Source organism: Homo sapiens, chromosome 2 (assembly GCF_000001405.40).
Source record: "Homo sapiens chromosome 2, GRCh38.p14 Primary Assembly".
Taxonomy (NCBI): domain Eukaryota; kingdom Metazoa; phylum Chordata; class Mammalia; order Primates; family Hominidae; genus Homo; species Homo sapiens.
Window position 1 is genome coordinate 64,079,795 of NC_000002.12, and position 20,860 is coordinate 64,100,654.

General features: G+C 38.6%; 1 protein-coding gene across 7 annotated transcripts in view, besides 2 other annotated features; it reads right to left on the minus strand.

The window, feature by feature from the left end:
- Positions 5–1,204: an enhancer, noted in NCBI's record as "MED14-independent group 3 enhancer chr2:64306933-64308132 (GRCh37/hg19 assembly coordinates)". NCBI's record gives its function as "activates an origin of replication core promoter dependent on BRD2, BRD4, P300/CBP and CDK7 cofactors, and independent of MED14, by STARR-seq in HCT116 cells {active_cell/tissue: HCT116}" and the evidence as "EXISTENCE:reporter gene assay evidence [ECO:0000049][PMID:35650434]".
- Positions 6,950–7,139: an enhancer, noted in NCBI's record as "active region_15881". NCBI's record gives its function as "activates an Ori minimal core promoter by ATAC-STARR-seq in GM12878 lymphoblastoid cells {active_cell/tissue: GM12878}" and the evidence as "EXISTENCE:reporter gene assay evidence [ECO:0000049][PMID:35858748]".
- PELI1 (pellino E3 ubiquitin protein ligase 1) overlaps positions 12,858–20,860 on the minus strand; it is a 51,769-nt gene continuing 43,766 nt past the window's right edge. For 6 of the 7 annotated variants that reach the window (NM_020651.4, XM_017004520.2, XM_047445137.1 and 3 more), the window contains 4 exons: positions 20,604–20,705; positions 16,619–16,816; positions 16,331–16,519; positions 12,858–15,474 (listed from right to left, as the gene is read on the minus strand). In NM_020651.4, coding sequence (NP_065702.2) covers positions 14,908–15,474; positions 16,331–16,519; positions 16,619–16,816; positions 20,604–20,705 — 1,056 coding nt within the window. In that variant the 3' untranslated portion in view covers positions 12,858–14,907. Of the gene's footprint in view, positions 15,475–16,330; positions 16,520–16,618; positions 16,817–17,267; positions 17,484–20,603; positions 20,706–20,860 lie in introns of those variants that run through there. The other variant, XM_011532997.3, reaches the window with a different exon arrangement.

Below are 20,860 nucleotides of genomic sequence, written 5' to 3' on the forward strand. Positions count from 1 at the left end.
GGCGCAAAGAGGTCAGGGCACGGAAATAAGGGATTGGGGTGCAGAGATAAGATAAGTTAAGGCAGGAACCAGCCATCTGGATGTGTACGTGCAGGTCACAGGGGATATGATGGCTTAGCTTGGGCTTAGAGGCCTGACAGGCAGCTTGGAGGTTAAAGGCAAGATGGAGTCGGGTTAGGTCAGATATCCTTTACTGTCATATTTTCTCACTGTTATAATTTTTGCAAAGGCAGTTTCATATATGCCCCTCTTCTGATCCTTCCTCCTGTTGGCTGAATGCAAACAAAATGAATGGAGCTGGAGAAATTGTATTGAACTATGACATAGAAGCCAAACACCAAGGATGACAAAGCAAGGAGCTACAAATAATCTGGATTCCTGACATCATAGACCTCCATTCTGGCCTTATTCATCTACCTGGATTTTTATGTAAGAGAGCAATTAACCTCTTTCCCATTTAAGCAATTCTTACTTGGGCTTTTCTGTCATTTGTAGCCAAACACAACTAATATGATAATATTGGGCTAATCTAACTGTCTCACACTCCAATATGGGGAGTTCTAAATGCTGATGATCAAATTACATGACTAAGCAGATCAGTTCCGATATCAGGTATGTTCACCAACCTCAACTGGGCCCTCAGTGCTGCATAGCAGTCTCTCCAATTCTCTCTGGTAGCCACTTCAGGCATTTATGCTCCTCAAACTTTTCACTTCTCCTTCTCCCACTTCTCAGCAGTTGACCTCTGCTTATTTCAGAGGGAACATATAAGAAACCATTAGATAAGAACTTACCCCTTCAGGCTGGGCGCAGTGGCTTACGCCTGTAATCTCAGCACTTTGGGAGGCTGAGGCGGGCGGATCATGAGGTCAGGAGATCGAAACCATCCTGGCTGACATGGTGAAACCCCGTCTCTACTAAAAAATACAAAAAATTAGCCGGGTGTGGTGGCAGGTGCCTGTAGTCCCAGCTACTTGGGAGGCTGAGACAGGAAAATCACTTGAACCCAGGAGGTGGAAGCTTCAGTGAGCCCTCTCCCTCTCCTTTTCTTCCCAACCATAGTCAAACTACTTGACTTTTCTGAGTCCACTTCTTCATCCTTAAGGGTCTTCTCAAAACTTCTGAAGTATGGCTTCAGCTTCTGTCACTCCATGAAAATGCTGTCAAGGTTGCCAACTTCCCTTGTAGCTAAATCTACTGGACATTTCTCAGTCCTCAGCTTACTTTGCTCCTCAGTAATGTGACATCGCAAACCATCTCTCCTTAAATGATTCTTGTCTCTTGGCTTGTGTGCTATTGATCTCTTCTGGTTTTCTATCTCTTTTTCTTTCTGACAGCTCTTCCCCTTGGTCTTTGTTATGGGTTTCTTTTCTTTCATCCTACCCCTTAAATGTTAATCTCAGTCTAATCCTAATCACCCCACCCTAATCCTCGTATCATGCAAAGGAATTTTCTACTTGGCCGGCGCCATGTTTTCTGCTCCTTACTGTACATGTGGTCGGCAAGAAAAACGGAAGATGGAGCCGCCATGTTGAACATGCCAACCCACAGGTAGCCTTTCCCTATTGGCACAGCTGCCGGCATTCACCCGTGCAAGCTTCCAGCTTGCCTTTGTATGTCTGCAGCTTTATTTTACAGGCTGCACTCTGTTAGAAAAGAAAATGATTTGTGGGCTGCTTTTCATTAAAAGGAAAACCTTATCTAGGACTTTCTTACTGTCACTATCTGCCTAAATAATTTCTTTTTAACTCCTATATCAAAACCACCATCCATCTAATTGCCTAAGCCTGTCACGGATACACTTTCATCTAAACAATCATAAAGCCCTGCCAAGTTTACTTTTACATATGTTACATATGTTTCAGACCCATTCATCTCTCTCCATTCCTACTGCTACTTCCCTTATTCCAGTTCCCCATCATCGTTCACTTGGGCTATTCTATAACTTTCTGTCTCTCTGCCTCCAGTCTTCCACACCCATTCTCCACAGTACAGCCACAGTGATCTTTCAAACGTGGTAATTTATTTATTTGAGACAGAGTTTCCCTTTTGTCACCCAGGCTGGAGTGCAGTGGTGTGATCTCTGCTCACTGCAACTTCCGCCTGCCAGGTTCAAGTGATTCTCCTACCTCAGATTCCTGAGTAGCTGGCATTACAGGTGCCCGCCACCACGCCTGGATAATTTTTGTATTTTTAGTAGAGACAGGGTTTCACCGTCTTGGCCAGGCTGGTCTTGAACTCCTGACCTTAGGTGATCCACCCGCCTCGGCTCCCAGTGTGCTGGGATTATGGGTGTGAGCCACCGCGCCTGGCCTGAAGCATTGAGATTTAATCACACCATTCTCTGATTCCTTATGGCCCATAGGATAAAGCTCAACATCTAGACTTGGCTTACAAAAGCCTGTCCATGTGTCTTCTGCCTGTGTCTTTGGCCTCTTTTCTTGCCACTCACCTCCTTTTACTCTCCATTTACCCACATTCAATTCCATTTTCTCAAGTATGCACTACTCTCTATTGGTGCTGAGTCACTGCAAAAACTAAGACATTCCTTCTGCTGGGAATCCTCTTCCCACTGTCCCCACCTGCCACTCTGCCCCCATCTTTAGCTATCTCCCTTTTCCTTCAAGTCCCTGATTCCAAACATTTCCTTTTACAGCATCTTCTCTGATTTCCAGAGTCTGGTTCAGTGCCCCTTCTATGTGCTCCCAAAGGTCTTCTTCCTCTTTTTTAAAATTAATTTTTAATTTTTGTGGGTACATAATAGGTATATGGATTTATGGGGTACATGAGATACTTTGATACAGGCGTGTTAATATGTAATAATTGTATCAGGGTAAATGGAGTATCCATCACCTCAAGCATTTATTCTTTGTGTTACAGACAATCCAATTTTGCTATTTTAGTTATTTTTAAATGTACAATTATTTTTTACTATAGTCACCAGGTTGTGCTAGCAAATACTAGGTCTTATTCATTCTTTCTATTTTTTGTACGCATTAACCATCCTCACTTCTCCCCCATATCCCCACTACCCTTCCCAGACTCTGGTAACCATGCTTCTACTATTTCCATGAGTTCAGCTGTTTTAATTTTTAGCTCCCACAAATAAGTGAGAACATGCAAACTTTGTCTTTCTGTGCCTGGCTTACTTCACTTAACATAATGACCTCCAGTTCCATCCATGTTGTTGCAAATGAAAGGAGCTCATTCTTTTTTTATGGCAGATTAGTACTCCATTGTGTATGGGGACCACATTTTCTTTATCCATTAATCTGTTGGTGGACATGTAGGTTGTTTCCAATCTTGGATATCGTGAACAGTGCTGCAGTAAACATGGGAGTGCAGATATCCCTTCAATATACTGATTTCCTTTATTTTGGGTATATACCCAGCAGTGGGATTACTGGATCATCTGGTTGTTCTATTTTTAGTTTTTTGAGGAACTTCCAAATTGTTCTCCAAAGATCTTTCCTTCTGCTATAGCACTTACACCATATTGTAATTGCTTATTTACCTTCTGCAAGACTGCAGCATTGTAAGAGTAAGGACCATGTCTATTTTATTCATCTTTGTATTTCCAGAGCCTCTCAGCTCAATATATTTTTACTGAATAAATGAACCCAAAGTAGGTATTCAGTTTTTAATACATGCTTCACTTTCCTAGTGGATAAACATGTCTGGGTAGTCAGGCAATTAAGAAATATTCTATATAACAACCACTCTCATGGTGACTGAAAAGAAAGAATTCCCCTCTAGACATCTTTAATGATTTTTTAAAAAATCACTAATTTTACCAGAGCATTGTAAATTGTGATACTCAAGCAGAAAAAAAAGATCAAATTAAAATCAGCTCTTGCTTTCCAATTTAAGTTGTCAACAGGCCTCTGTGTTTGAGGTTTCCCCAGGAGTCCCACAGGACAAGGAGAGAGAAAAAGGCTTATCACAACTGTCAGTCTAGACTCTTCCTACTTTACTTCTCCACTCAAGAGTGGAGTTCCTCTCCTATCCAGTGATCTTAAGGTTGCTAGAAAATTAAAAATAGTTCTTCAACACATGAAGGATGAAGGCTCCAGTTCTAATCTGCTCAAATATTCAATGAATATTTAACTGCAGGCTGACTGTATGCAAGACATCTTATTTCTCATAATCTCCTCAGGTCTCCTGTAAGTATTTTATTCTCTTGGACAGACCTCCGTTTAAGAGAGGGAGACCCTTACTCTATTGACAAGCCCCCCTAGCCTTTAAGAAGCAGAATAACAGCTGATAGTTTAACTTCCAATCATACAGGTACCAATCATGCTACTAATTTAAAATACCAAAAAAGAGATTTTGGTAATGGCTAATGGAAAGCTGTCATGGGTCAATATATAATTAAATTCCAATACAAATACCAAAAAAAAAAAAAGAATTTTGGTATCTTAAATTATCAGATAATTTTGCTCTGAGCTGTTTTTCTAATCAGATTGATTGTGATGTATTGCATTATTCACACTCTTTTATCTATTCATTCCAGTATATATTAGCCCCAATATATATGTGCAAGATTGCTGGTCATAGGATAGTTTTTCTTCAGGAGAAAATAATTGGTCAACAAAGGGGATCAAAATTTAGATTTATTAACATAATAACTAACTCAAACCCCACTTCAAAAAGAACTGATGATCTGGCATTCCATTAAAAACCCAGCATTATCTTCTTGGCACCCATATTAGTTTGCTTAGACACAACACCAGAAAACAAAAAGCAAATGTTGGCATTTCAGAAATGCTGTGTTAGCTGGAAATGAACCATGCAAACAGAAGCACATAAAGAACCTTAAGAGTCAATGTGTTTTTTCCAGCCAGGAAAATAGTGTCACTACATAAGATTCCCTTTTGTTTAATTATACCTAGTTCTCTAAATAAAGCCTTTTATCACCTTTCCACATAAAGGGAAACTTTAAAGAAACAAAGTGACAAAATAGATGTTTTTGAAATATTTTCACTCAGTGAGGTATGAGCTTCTTGTTGCAAACCCTCTCTAGTAGATGCTGGGTCCTGTGGTTACAGATGTACTTACAAGCCAAGGATATCTGGAAATCCAGGTTAATCAGCAGTCCAAAATGTCAGTCATAACAAACAACAATAATGACAAAGGTCAAATTAATGTAATATTCTCAGAGTAAAAGTGTGTATTTCTCCTTGTTATGTCAATTATTTTGCTCATGTTGCTCCTATTTTGTAGGACATTTCATTGGTCAGCAGGCTTAACTCATCGTAATGAGGGAATGAATGAAAAGGTGAAGATCAACTTTCTATTTTAATTCCCATTATGACAAAACATTTTTGCAGATCAAAAAGATGTTTGAACTAGTGTCACAGATCAACACAGAATTACATTCCAATGCAAGCTAATAGGAACAAATTCCTTGGAATTTGTTGTTAGAGAATTTGATATGTTGGGTCATTGCTCTGTACTCTGTCCTCCAAACTATATATCCTTTCAAAAGTGTTTCAGCTACAGATAATTTGGATTATCCTTTCCATTAGCCATTGAATGATTAAAAAGCTCCTTAGACTGAGGATAACTTTAAAATACATTTAAGATGCTCCAGCTGGGTACAGTGGCTCACGCCTGTAATCCCAGCACTTTGGGAGGCCGAGTTGGGTGGATCACCTGAGGTCAGGAGTTTGAGACCAGCCTGACCAACATGGAGAAGCCCTGTCTCTACTAAAAATACAAAATTAGCCTGGCATGGTGGCACATGCATGTAATCCCAGCTACTTGGGAGGCTGAGGCAGGAGAATTGTTTGAACCCGGGAGACAGAGATTGTGGTGAGCTGAGATTGCGCCACTGCACTCCAGCCCGGGCAACCAGAGCAAAACTTCATCTCAAAAAAAAAAAAAAAAGCTCCGATTTTGTTTTATTTCAAAGAGCCCACTGAGCTCCCAAAATGAAGAGGCTGTAAATTTGTTAGTCTGAGACCATCTACTGTTGCAAGTCTAATTCCATACATAGGGCCACCACCAAAGACCCAAGGAACTAAAATAGGGTAGAAGAAGTATTAATTCATTGATGCCAAAGGGTTGAATTACTTTGTTCCCATAGAATGGTAGGTAATGAGATTCATGACCACAGAGCCAAGGAGTTAAAAATAAAAGTATGTTACAAAATGATAGGAAATGCTGGCTTCAGTACAACTGAGTCCTCTCCGAAGGGCAAACTGCTTATCTTGATATTTTCTAACTCCCCTCACTCAGTCCCTAGTTTATTTACAGTGAATAACTGCCCATTGTTACCTACTTTGATAAAGGAACATTTAAGGACTGGTATCTGAGGCCAGACTGGATTAAGGCTTGGACCCATGCCTTGTCTGAAGAATTCCTTGTATTTGTGAAATTCCACCCAGACAACATTTTCAATGGTCCTTTTGTATTTAAAGAGGAATTAAAACACTTTGGTAAATAAATACGGCTATATTTGAAATCAGTAGCAATAATGAAACCATAAAAGCAGCTGCAAAGAAACTCTTGATTGTTAACTCTCAAACTTTAAAAGTCCTATAGCATATACCAAAGCAGAATAACATTCTTTTAATGCTTCTCTGCAAAAGGTTACATCCCAAGAGTCATATCTTTGACTTTAATTTCATCATAACAAGTATCACTTCACAGTTGTATTACCTTTGCAACAAGATACCAACTTTGCATAGTATACTTGATTCAGGGATTCCTGTCACAGTTGAGTTCTTTGAATAAAATCAATGAAAAATAGAATCAACATTTGCATTCATGCAGTATGACTAATATAGAAATGACACTAAGAAACATGTTAGAATTTACACACTCAAGTGAACACTGTTTCTTTCAACCTAGTCACCTTGAGAAGCTATACTTATTCCAGAATTTGGAGGATTTCTTTGGTGGGTGTGTTTATGAGAGAGGAGAGGGAGACAGAGAAAAAGAGGGAGATGGGAGTTGGGGAGAGAGACCAATCTCCAAAAAACTGCTTGTTCTCTCTTCCCCAACCCCTGTGCAAAACAACTTGGGAAGACTCGCAGTAGGGGATTCCTCCCACTACCCCTCCGCAGCTGCCACCTGAGCCCATACTACTTTGGGAGCTCCTGGCTGTAGATAGCAGACAGCCTGTGTGAACCGTTCATTCTCTTGTCCCTATACACCTGGTCCAATTCAACTCCTGCCCCTCACGATTCCAGATTTTGACAACTTTGTTTTTTGTTTTGAGACAGTCTTGCTCTGTCGCCCAGGCTGGAGTGCAGTGGTGTGATCTCGGCTCACTGCAACCTCCGCCACGCAGGTTCAAGTGATTCTCCTGCCTCAGCCTCCCAAGTAGCTGGAATTACAGGTGCCCACCACCATGCCTCACTAATTTTCCTATTTTTTTAAGTTGAGACGGGGTTTCACCATGTTGGCCAGGCTGGTCTTGAACTCCTGACCTCAGGTGACCCTCCCCCCGTCTCGGCCTCCCAAAGTGCTAGGATTACAGGCGTGAGGCACTGCGCCAGGCCCCAAATTTAGACAACTTTATGGTCGCTATGGTTCAGGTTACTATTGTTCAACTACTTTGTGAATTGAGAAAGATTTTTTTGAATTGCTTGATAGTATAGTGATTTTAACATTTTAATAAAACATTACCATCTCCATTTCAAATAACTAATTTCCCAAAGGTCATTTGACAAGCCAATTGAAAGTGAACAGTATCTGAATACATTGCATTCCTGCAGAGGTATGCTAGGCAAAATAACTGTCCTAACTCCATAACAAATAGTAGAGTAAAATAAGAGCCTTGTCATTGAATGAGCACTCATATTAGCTGAATGATTTATAATGATTTATATAGCATACCAAAGGACTGTAAGTGAGTCTACTGGACAACTCTCGATTCTCTTTCCCTGCTTTTGTCTTTCATTTCCAAACTAAGCAGCCTTTTAGTTAAATGAAATCTGAAGCAGATCATTCCTTACATTTGGGAATCATTGTTTACATGACAACAAGAGTTGATAGTTTTACTCTGCAGACACTTATAATTTAAAAACAAAAACTTAAAATGCAATGTTCTTACCTCTGCTTCAACAAACAAAACGTGGAAATATAACTGAGTCTTGGAGGATAGACATAGGCATGGAAGTTCTAATACCAGATCTGTCAATCAGTAATCAGTTCATCCTGGCCTTCATTTCCTCATCTGTAACTTGATGTCCAAGATCCTCTCTAGTTTATATTTTATTATTTTTATTAATAGTTATACAGTAATACGATATAACTTCAGGAAATCTTAATTTTCCCTTTAAATATTGGCTGCTTGTTGTGCCTTTCCTCATTAAAATAGGTTCTTAAAAATTTGAATGTCTGGATGACATCCTTTTTGGCTGTCATTGATATTTCTTCTCTTTCCTCCAGGGCAATCCTTTTGTTCTATTCTGGCACCATCGATTTTCTTCTTGTTGCCTTGTCAACTTTCCAGTTAGTGCCACTTTTTGTAGTATCTTCACCTTTTCCCTTCCTATTTTTCAGCCAATGAAAGCATATTTTCTGATCAAATAATAGCTTGTATGTAACCTTTATTCTTCTGACTATTTTTATTAATGCTTCTACTCAGTATTAAGTAGCTTAAAGGTCCAGAGTTCTCAGTTTTGTTCAATCATCCAAGAAATAGTTTTCGAATATCTGTCATGTGCCAGAAATCATACTTATTTACCAACTCGCAAAAGAATTCCTTCAATGTGTTCCATCATTAAAATGGGGAAGCAACAAAATGTGGCGATTATGTACACACAAATTGGGTGAGACTTCCAAAGTTCAAATTCCAAGTCCCCCAGTTAAAAGACATGTGAATCTCGGGCAAGTTACATTGCTATGGCTGGTTTCCATTGTAAAATGAATCTAACAGTTGGTTCCTCACAGGGATGCTTTGATTTTTAAAATAATATCAGTAATATTCCTAGTAGGGTACATTTAGAATAGTGCTTGACACATAGCATACACGCACATGTTAGCTGTGAGGAATGCTTGTACGCTGTGGCTTAATATTCACACACATAGCCGAGTTGACAATTTAATGTCAACCTAAATAACCCAACATTCCTGTTCCATCATCTAACACAATGCATGGACATGGTATTTTATGGCGATTATTAGGAAAACTCGATCTTTTTTTTTTTTTTTTTTTTTTTTTTTTGAGACGGAGTCTTGCTCTGTCGCCCAGGCTGGAGTGCAGTGGCGTGATCTCGGCTCACTGCAAGCTCCGCCTCCCGGGTTCACGCCATTCTCCTGCCTCAGCCTCCCAAGTAGCTGGGACTACAGGCGCCCGCCACTACGCCCGGCTAACTTTGTGTATTTTTCGTAGAGACGGGGTTTCACCGTGGTCTTGATCTCCTGACCTCGTGATCCGCCTGCCTCGGCCTCCCAAAGTGCTGGGATTACAGGCGTGAGCCACCGCGCCCGGCCTGGAAAACTCGATCTTATTACTTTTTTTTGTTGATAATTATCAAATACAGGCCTATTTCCTTCAGGGAAACTGGACATTAAAATCTGAACTTATAGGTTTAAGAATTCTGTTTTCCATAAGCACTCAAATATTTTTTCAAAAACTTTAAAAGCAAAGCACAACTTGTGCTCTGCCACTGCCAAAAAGGATTTGAAGCAGCAAAATATTAAGATTCAGGAAAACTGAAGACTCTTTTTTGTTTTTTTTTTTAAAGGCAAGAGCCAAGGAAAAAGGTGTATATGGCGAGGAGGAAGAAAAACTTTATCAGAATGCTTTCGCTAAATGAAGCGATTATAGTTGAAAACAAAACTTCATTTCCTTAGAGGGAAGCCAAAGCAAAGAGAGAACCATGAGACGTGTCCCAACTCTCTATTTCAATGAAAGGAAATTCACCATTCATCAGGAGGGATACTTTTTTGTTTGTTTCTAAGCTAGCGTGGGGTATACAGAGAACACTGATCATAATGGTTGAGAACTTTGATAGTAGTTATAAGTGGAGTTGTCCTTCCTTTGGCAAATGTCGTCTGACAGGTGCCTCAGTCTAACACTCAGGACGGAGTTCCTGATTCCTCCACCAGTGAGCCTCATCCCCTAAACAGTTCTTCCTATAATCTCTACTTCAACAAATGGCAGTTCCATCCTTCCAGTTGCTGAGGCTGATTGAGTGGAGTCATCCTTGATCCCTCTTCTTTCAAACCCTGTAGCTGATCTGCTAGCAAATGCTGTCAGGTCTGCCTTTAAAACACATTCAGAATCTGATCACTTTTCAAACCACCTCCACTGCCACCACCTTATCCAAACCATGATTTATCTCCAGGATTACTGCAATGTTCTCCCTGATCCCACCTTCAGTGTATTCAGATCCTATTAAATATGTCACATCAAGTCACTCACCTGCTCAAAACCCTCCAATGTCCCAATCTCATTCAGAATTAAAGCCATAAATCCCAGGGGGCTCTCCATAATCTATTGTCATCCCCATCTGTCACTTAAATTCTGTCGTTTTACTTCTTTGACCTTACCTGCTACTCTTCCTTGATTCATACCACTTGGCATCACACGCCTCTTTGCTATTGTAGAAATATCCCAGACATGCTTCTATTTCAGGGCCCTTGCAAGGGCCTTGTAGAGCTCTCTGCCTAAATGCCCCTCTAAGTGGCCACTCCCTTCTCTCTTCAGCTCTTTTAGAGCTTTATTCAAATACCACCTTCCCAGTGGGGCTTTCCCTAGCCTTCCTGTTTGATATTGCAAACACTTCTCCTCCTGCCCCAGCATATGACATTTTGCATCTGCATCTCCTCTTTCTACTTTATTTGCCCCCTCAGCACAGTTCACTATCATATTGTATATATACATATATTTACTTTTTCTTGCTTATTTCTATCTTGTACACTAGAATACAAACACGATGAAGGCAGGGATTTTTTTTTTCCTGCTATATCACCCGGTTTAGGACAGGGCTTGGCACACAGTGGGTATACAAAAATCTGTTTTAAGAAAGCAGAGGCCGGGCGTGGTGGCTCACGCTTGTAAATCCAGCACTTTAGGAGGCCGAGGTGGGTGGATCACTTGGGTCCAGGAGTTCGAGACCAGCCTAGCCAACATGGCAAAACCCCGTCTCTACTAAAAATACAAAAATTAGCCAGGTGTGGTGGCCGGCACCTGTAATCCTAGCTACTTGGGGAGGCTGAGGCAGGGAGAATTGCTTGAAGCCGGGAGGCAGAGGTTGCAGTGAGCCGAGATCACACCACTACCCTCCAGCCTGGGCGACAGAATGAAACTCCGTCTCAAAAAAAAAAAAAAAAAAAAAAGTAGATAAAATTTGAGGATAAAACATTAAAGAATACTTATATAAGAGTAATTCTGAAAGTGGGGGTGACAGACAGAATAACAGAGTTCAGTGATGCAGAGTTTTGCTGTTCTGATTTGCTATAGGGCAGTGCTTAGAGAAAACAGAGAAGGGAATGGAACATAGGTTTATTAACCAGTGGTCTCTAAAGTGTGGTAGCACAGCAGGGTGTGGTGGCTCAACACCTGTAATCCAAGCACTTTGGGAGGCTGAGGCAGGAGGATTGCTTAAGAGCAGGAGTTTGAGACCAGCCTGGGAAATCTAGTCAGACGGCGTCTCTACTGAAAATGAAAAAAATTAGCCAGGAATGGTGGTGTGTATCTGTAGTCCCAGCTACTCAGGAGGTAGAGGTGGAAGAATTGCTTGAGCCTGGGAGGTTGAGGCTGTGGTGAGCTGTGATTGCACCACTGCAGTCCAGCCTCGGCAACAGAGCAAGACCCTGTCTTAAACAAAAAAAGAAGTGGTAGCACAAGATGATCCATTGCAACGAAGGGCCAAAGTGTTAGAGTTATGTTGAGCTTATAACCTTAGAGACATAATAAGTGGACTTTCACCAGTGCCCTCAGTCTGGGTCAGACGGGAAGAGTGAAGTGGGACACTCAAATGTTAGAAGTAATTAATCCTAGCACTTTGGGAGGCCAAAGTGGGCGGATCACAAGGTCAGGAGATCGAGAGCATCCTGACCAACATGGTGAAACCCTGTCTCTACTAAAAATACAAAAACTAGCTGGGCATGGTGGCGGGCGCTTGTTATCCCAGCTACTTGGGAGGCTGAGGCAGGAGAATGGCGTGAACCCGGAAGGTGGAGCTTGCAGTGAGCCGAGATCACGCCACTGCACTCCAGCCTGGCGACAGAGTGAGACTCCGTCTCAAAAAAAAAAAAAAAAAGAAGAAGTAATTACATACTTACATTATTATTTATTCCTACCCTGCTTTACATGTACTAGAAGACTTTTACATGAGGGAAGTAAGCAAAGAAGGTTGCAAGAGGATAACCTAGTAAAAGAACTCTGATGTCTGAATGGCTTCCCTTCATGTCTTGCTTCATTACCCTAACATTTTAGATAAAGGGAAATTTAATTCCTTGAACAAATTAAGTAGCATTTAAATATAAAGATTACTTTGATAAAAGAGTTAAGCCATAAAGATTATCTTTCTTGAGAATGCATTTAGAAGACCTAAATACAACTTTTTCTCCTCCTTGGCCAGAATACTGACATTCCCTTAATACAACTAAGTAAAAGTGTTCTATTAGGCCATGACAAAATAACAGTTCTGCTTGAACAGCAAACACCCAACTGATCATTTAAATTGCCTGAATTTTTAAAACTTGAATTTGATAGAAAATGAGCCAGGTTTTTCCCTGTTAGAAGAGATTGTTTTTACCTGTTAGAAGAAAATGCAGGCAACTTTGGGAAGGACGTGCAACTTTTATGGTTACGAAGCCACTATTTAAATAGTCTAACATGCAACTTACAGGTGCCAACTCCCTAGCAAGGCTTAACTTAGAAAAGGCCTCAATTATTCAACCACTAACAAAGTTCCTTTATTAGTAAGAGATGCTTTTAAAAAAGAACCAGATACTTTAAAGTGTTACATTAAATGCAAACTCTTCATCTATTTCAAATGAGTATTTTTGGAGTGTGGAATAGAGTTGTTCACAGTTTTCACTTCTGGTTTCTCATTCTCGATTATGCAAAAATGAACTCACAGAGACGAATTCAATTATGTATTTTGAAAAGTATTTACTTAGTTTAAATAAATTAATTGCAAATAAAAATTAAGCTACAATATATAGCCTGAATAAAAATGACTAGAACAAATACAACACAGGACTTGCTTTCTTGCATTAGTCACAAAGCATGTGACAATCTAGAAAACTTCAAAATCAATTACATTTCTTTGAAAAAGGGGTAACAGCAGTTACTGATACATCACAACTAATAAACTTATAATACAAGTTTCCTGACATGCATTTCCTGAGTGAACCCAAATGATCATTTTTTAAAACAAGGAAGTTTCGACAGTTGAAGTAAAATAAAATAATTCATGGCTTCTAAGCAACAAGTTTTGTTTTTTAAAAACCAAAAGAAAATTCAGAACAGTTTTGTAATAGGATAAATTAAAGGTATGCTACCACATATAAAACTTTGCTACAGTCAGTTAAGTATTATACAACTTTTCAAACTAAAGGAAAACAAATCAAAATATTAAAAGAAGATACTGTCTAATCTAAAAGTGTACTGGTTTCTACAAGTGTCAAAAAAAGATTTGATGTAGTGCAACTGTCTATACTTGTGGTGCCTTTGAAAAAAGGGTGGGAAGGAGGGGAGAGAAGAAACTTTTCTTGCTTCTGGAAGCAAAAGACATATTGGAATTAGAGAATAAACAGACCATGCAGTGCGTCACTCCACGCTGCAGTCATTGGTGCTCATCTGCCAACCAAACATTTCCTTAAGTCTCACTGTGGCAATCTCCTTAGGATTCAAACCCAGAGTTAAGGCTGGTCTGCTAAAAACGGGGGCACTATTGTCATTCAACCCTTTAGATCTCTAGATTTCCTAATGCCCGAATAAGGCCAAATACAGAATAATTAATTAAGCATTTCTTTTTCCAAAAGCAAATCAAGTCACTCTCCTTTCTTGCTAATTTATACTTTTTCTTATGGCAATGATTTTTTTCTAGAAACAGTGAACAGATGAACCACAGTTTATATCCAAAAAATAAACTTGCCAAATGCTGCTGATACTAAAAACAGATTAGTTATCATGGGAGAAAAATAGATAATCTAGATTAAATTGCATATCCAAAGGAGCATATAAAATGTTTCTTAGCATTAAGTTTTTGTTATAGTACTACGCTCGAGAGAAACATTAAGAAAAAATCTTTCCTGATTATCTTCAATGTTGTTAAAAACAAACACCTTTCACGCGGGTAATTAGTATGAATTTGGTCTTACAAATTACAAAGTATTCTAATTTACCAAATTCCATATTTAGATTGGGGTGGGGAGAGAGGCTCTCTCGTCCTTCTTCCTAACTTTGCAAATCCTTGAGCTAGGTTGCTCACTAAGCTACCATTCACACCAAGGGTGTGACACCATCGTTACCATGCTACTCTATCAAGAACATTCTAAGGTATTTTCTATAATAAAGATAAATAGAAAAAAGTTAATATACATGTCGCTGTATTTTACAATGTTTGCAACAAACTGTAAACTAACATAGTTTGAACCAACAGTACCCTCAGTTATACAAAACAATTTCAGCACTGAGGATAGGTGATTCAAAAACACTAAAAGGAAGGCATCAAATTAGACTATGTCTTTTTCTCCTCAAAATATATTTTCAAAACTCAGAATTCAGAAGACTGATACTTTCAGAAATTCCTTTGCTTGAGTTTCCCAGATTTTTGCTCAGAAATTGCTACTATTTATTATAAATGTTTTAAAAAATTCTTCATCTTAATGCAAATGACCAGAGCAGAAAAACTGTGACGTGGACAACAGGTTCGAAAACCCAACTCACTTAGCTTATAAATTTATAATGTAGTCCTGCAAGACAATGGTCTGTTAGTCTAGAGGTCCTTGAAAAATAAGTCTGATGTAGCCTTGTTCACCAGCCAACTGATGTGCACAAAAGGGACAGGCTGCATGAAAAGTATGAGTACCATGAGGAAGTGGGATCTGGGACCAATAGGCAGTTGTCTTTTCTGAACACACATGCCCACACGGGCTAAACGCATGGGTTGGAGGGCCGGCGTCCACATAAAATCCAGCTTCACATCCAAGCCACAGAGGAACATAGGGACCAACAGACCTACACATAGGACATTCACGATCTTTTCCATCACGTTCTTCTTTGTTTCCCCAGTTATGATAGCCATGTACATGGCCGCAGTTTAGATATACCCATGGTTGTTTTTCATCTACAACGTCTTTCCTCTTCATACTAGGAAATGCTAGTGTGTTGAACCCTACAGGGCACTGAGGTCGTGCTGCATTGATTTCCTGTCTTAAAGCTTCTAAATGCTTCACGGTAGGAGTGTGGGAAAGGCCTTCTGCAGTACGCCATAACAATGTTGCACCACAGAGGTCAATTAACGAGCCATCTTGTAACTGATTGGTTTCAATTTCCACCTAGAGGAGACAAGAGTTGAAAAACATATTCACCACTCTGTTTTGGATTTTTACATAAGTGTTTTGGTTTTAAGTACTCCTTACTCAAGAAATGAGGTTTCCTAGGATTTTCACTAAATATTCAAGAAACTGACAGTAGTTATGAAAAATGTTAAGTTTGAAAATCAAGGATAAAATATCAAACATTAACATATTTCTTTTTAGCCTTATGGTAAAGACAACTTATGATTAAAACATCTGGCTAATCAATAAGTCTAATATTTTTAATGAGGTAAATATGGTTTAAGATATACAGATGGCAACAGAAAAGATCAGAGGGAGTGCTGTTTAGTTTAAGAAAGCTTAGGTTTTAAAATATATTAACATGATATGACAGAAGAATGAACTTCCAGAGTTTACTAAAATGCTCTTGTTGCCCAGGCTGGAGTGCAATGGCGCAATCTTGGCTCACCGCAACCTCTGCCTGCCAGGTTCAAGCTATTCTCCTGCCTCAGCCTCCCGAGTAGCTGGGATTACAGGCATGCGCCACCATGCCTGGCTTATTTTGTATTTTTAGTAGAGACAGGGTTTCTCCATGTGGCTCAGGCTGGTCTCGAACTCCTGATCTCAGGTGATCCATCTGCCTCGGCCTTCCAAAGTGCTGGGATTACAGGTGTGAGCCACCGCGCCCGGCTACTAAACGAAATATTAAAGAGACTGTCCTCTAGTATAGAATTTGGTAGTCAGTGTTTGATAGACTTAGTATTCTGTGTTGGCAATAGATTTAAGAGTTTTCTGGAATGTATGTAATGCATTCAGTTCTACTCATCCTATGTGTTTATTGTAGCTAATTAAGAAAATACCATTCAGTATTTACCATTTTTCCTCTCTGCTGAGCCGATCTGGTTTCACGTAGGCTAAATACATTTCCACACACCGATATTTCTCTCCATATTCCAGGCTTGGAGTCTTCTGTGAACCCATTGCGTGGATGCATCACAAGAACACCATTAGTGGTCAAGCCATCCATCTGTCCATCTGATGTCTTCCATTTGGCAGCCTTCTCCTAGTAGAAATAATAGCAGTGAGCTTCCAACTTGTAACTTGTAACTTGGAATGAAAGCTAGTATAAAAGAAAGCATCATTTAGAAAAAAAGCTTTTTACCCCAAGAAAGATGTTTTTTGATGAGTCAAATCCTGCAGCATAAATCCGTGCTGTAAAGGGAGGATTCCGTTCACATATGATTCTGCAGGCAAATCTTGATATAGTGCTTTGTACTGACTGTGTATCAGAATTACTTTGACTTCCAGGAACCGTGTCAGTTACTACAAAATCAATGGGGCTTTCAGTCGACCGGCCAATCTGAGGGAAAAAAAAAAATACCTATAAACCCATTCAAAGAGCACAGTGGAAAATCCATTCAAGAAGGGCACAATAAGGAGAGAACATTAGGTCTCTGAAATTTCTAAAGTTGAAGTTTACCATACTTAACGCTGGGGGCATCTATACTCTTGAAAACTAATCAGTCAGACTGTCTCTGATGAAGTAATCACTTAGAGCATGGAATTAAATGAGAACTTACAATAATATACGAAACCCTTAGGGAATGAAGAATTCAGGAACGGCTGAGATTTCTAGATGGCTGCAGATTTTAATTTTAACCCTTTTGGATGGAAATATGTGTATCATGTAGTTTTTTTCTCTTTAGAGATATTTAAAGAGATATTCTACCTTATTTAACAGAATATAGTGAACATATATAAGTAAATCTTTTAGGATGACTGCAGAACATTACACTATAAATACCACTTACGTTAAGCTGAAATGCAGTGATGTCTTCAGGTGCTACAAGAGGTATACAAGGCTGCTGGTCCTTATGTCAAGGGCTTACACAGCCTTGCTTTGAGGTCTTATGTATACTTCATATATTTTCTTGTTTCTTTTCTGTCAGGTTGTCAGCTATCACTCCTTGTTTTTGGTCATGCTTGTTTCCAGCAACAAGCCCCTCTTTTAACTGGCTACTCTTACTCTGTTATGGGTTGAGAAATCAAATAACCTATTTCAGAGAAAAGTATTTCAAAAGGTTCTGGTGAGAGCCTAAGGGATCCTCTAGGGAGAATAGAAAAGGAATTTCACTACATCAACTTTGTGGCATTTATTTTATATATATACTCTTCCTGGTTCTTAGGGATATTTCAGAGAGACAAGGTTCCCAGATAAGAGTTCTGGATGAGTGAGGTGTCAGAGATTTAAAAATATCTTCAGAGGTACTAGCTAGTAAATAAGTTAATTTCATTTTGAAAGTTGAAAGAAAAAAGGAAATCAATGGGGAGATGACAAAAGTGACAAGTGTCACGGGGCTTTAAAGCAAACATTTGGAAATTATCAGTTCATGAATGTATTTGTTATAAAGTAGTACCATAAAATTGAAGAATGTGGGTACTGAGAAAAAATACTGACCCTCTACAAAGATAAAGACTCTTAAAAGTCATTCTTTACATATTTTAGCCTCAAGTTCCTCATATCGGCACACTTTCAGATAAACCTCTTTAGTGTTTTTGTCCAACTGTCAAGTATAAAGTCTTTTTATTTAGATTGGATAGTTTTAGAGGGAAACTAGTTAACAAATATAAGATTGGATATTCCTTTTCTTTATTCTTAAAAATAAAGATACCTTAAATGGCCTCAGATCTTTGAAACAAAAAATATTCCCCCAAATAAAAAGGCTCTTTAAAAGCTAAAAGATATAGGCCAAGGATTGAACTAATATTCAGAATCAACAGAAGTAGCACTTATTTGGAAAGAGACTGTTCCAGAGAGCTGACATTTCAACTGGGTCTTGGAAGAGAATATTTAAGACACTGAAGCAATATTTGTAATGACAATGAGAAGGAAGAAACTTAAGTATCTATAAAGAGAAAAAAACCACCATGAATGTGATCAGATGCCAAAATATGATTGTTAATAATTCTTCCCCTGCTATTATTAGCATTAAAAATACAGCTCTTTTGTTACTCTCCCTTACCCTCATGAGAAAACTCAATGGTTCCTTATAGCTTATCCAAAATTTGTAGTTTATTATTTCTGATAATAGTTAGAAACTGACTCAAGATTTGCCTCCCATCTACCAATCCAGCCGAATTTCCTGCTATTTGTGTATACAAGCTACAACAGCTTATTCGTCAATCTTTCACCACACTGTGTACTACTTCTTTGCTTCTTTGCCATCTCTTTTGCTAGAATGCTTTTCTACCGGTTGCTGGCAAAAATCCTACTTAACCTGATAAAAAGATCTACATGAAAAGGCACCAGTGTAAAGTCTTTTCTCCATCCTTCTTCAACACAATCAATGTGCTTAAGATTTACAGGGTCAGTACAGCACCTAGGCATGTAATCAGCTTGTAATGTCTCCCTTATGTACTTCATAGTGACAAACAAGGCATAGAGTTGGAGTTGGAATATCTGATGACTTGAACAATAAATGTTCTTGTTCAGTTTACAGGGTAGACAATCCTAGAATGTTTCCAGTACAATTCCTCAAAGACTGGCTAGTTTATCAAGGTAGTTTCTGATACATCACAGTCTTTTTGATGCAGAAATGTTTGGATTTTCCAAAGGTATAATACCTGTAGAAAGGGCATAATCAGTTTATGATACTGGGGAAAATTCTCTACTTTATGAAAAAGACAAAACCCAAACTGTTAAAACTTATTCAAGGGCCTTCATTAGATGGTGAAGACATTGTTTCAGAATTCAGGATGCCTGGTTTAATTTCAGTTTTGCCCCCAAGTAACTCTATCATCTTTAACTCACAAGATTTCAGTTAACCTCATCTACAAAAGATAAGCGGTAAACAAATAAATATAACGTACTTTCTGAAGCTAAAATTCTAGCCTGTGACCAAATATCTTGGAGATACACACACACACACACACACACACACACACACACACATATATATTTATCTATATTTTATTAAAGAGACGAAGTCTCACTATGTTGCCCAGGCTGGCCTCAAGCTATCCTCCCACCTCAGCCCCCTGAGTAACTGAGACTACAGGCCTAGTAGCATCTTGATTTTAAAAAAAAGCTAAGCTCATTCATTTTCACTGCTTGTCAGTGAAACAAAATGTGAAAAATCATCCTAAAGCTTTGTGTTCGGTTTTTCTTGGATCTAAACATTAATCTTCCTTAAAGATCTTATTTATTTTTGGTAAAAGTGAGGAAAACATAATAAATGCCCACATTCTAATATTAACTAGAGAAAAGAAATTCAGTATCTCATCTCATTAAAAGGGTTGGGCAGAGGGAGTGGCTTCAAAGAAATATTTCACTATTGACTGAAATTAAATATATTTCCAGGTCTTTTCACTTTTATTTGCCTTGTAAAATAAAGAAAAATGGAAGTCAATGTGACAATAATTATAAAAGCAACATTATCAGGCAATTTATGTTGTACTTAAGTTTGTTTTTAAAAAGCCTAAGCTTCAGAGAGCTCAATATTAAGGGAGAAGATCAAGGATTCTATTTACATCTTTGGAACTGACTGTCCTAAAATCTATCAGTTTATAAAATATCAGCACTGGATTGGTACAAAAAGTAAGAGAAAAATACTTTTATTGCATGAGTAGCATTGACCAAATACATGCTGAGAAAAAGGTTTGATTTCACATAGATAATACAAATAGTTAGCAAGTGCCTGGATTGTTTATTGTCTAGAGAGGAAGGTGGGAGGTAGTGGTAGAAAAAGTCATAAATGTATGCAGAGTATTTACTGTTTTCTTTTTTGGATAATAGCTACTATTCACTAAGTGTTTTTACTAAGTGCCTGGCACAGTGCTGAGTACTCTACATGTACTAGATCATTTAAGCCTCTTAACAGTCATAGGGGAGAGTCTATTATCTGCACTTTACAGAGGAGGAAACTGAGGCATATAATGGTTATGTAATATTTACCAGTAATTCTTATTCTGGAGCCCATCTCAACCATGCTAGATTGACTTCTATTTATAAGGGTTAGCAATCAATCTATATTTTAATAAAATACAATATAAAAATCTGATAATCCTCTGACCTCAGCAAAAGTCACCAACAATAGATTTTTAACTTTTTCGTTTCTTAAGAAAAAAAATTTAAGATGTTGTAATACCTGAAACATATCGGTGTTGCTGTCATGAGTATATTCAACCACCACAGTCTGGGCCCGAGATAAAGTATATGATATGCTATGCTGGTCTTTGTTGCTTATTGCCTAAGAATGAAAAAGTTAATAGCAAAAATTAGTAGGCAGGTCAATCCAATCAGATAATCTTTTCATTAAAAAAAGGGAAAACTATTTATCAAATACATGACATATTTATACATTTTCCCCCTGAAATTTAGAGAGGTTAATAACTCCTGTCAGCT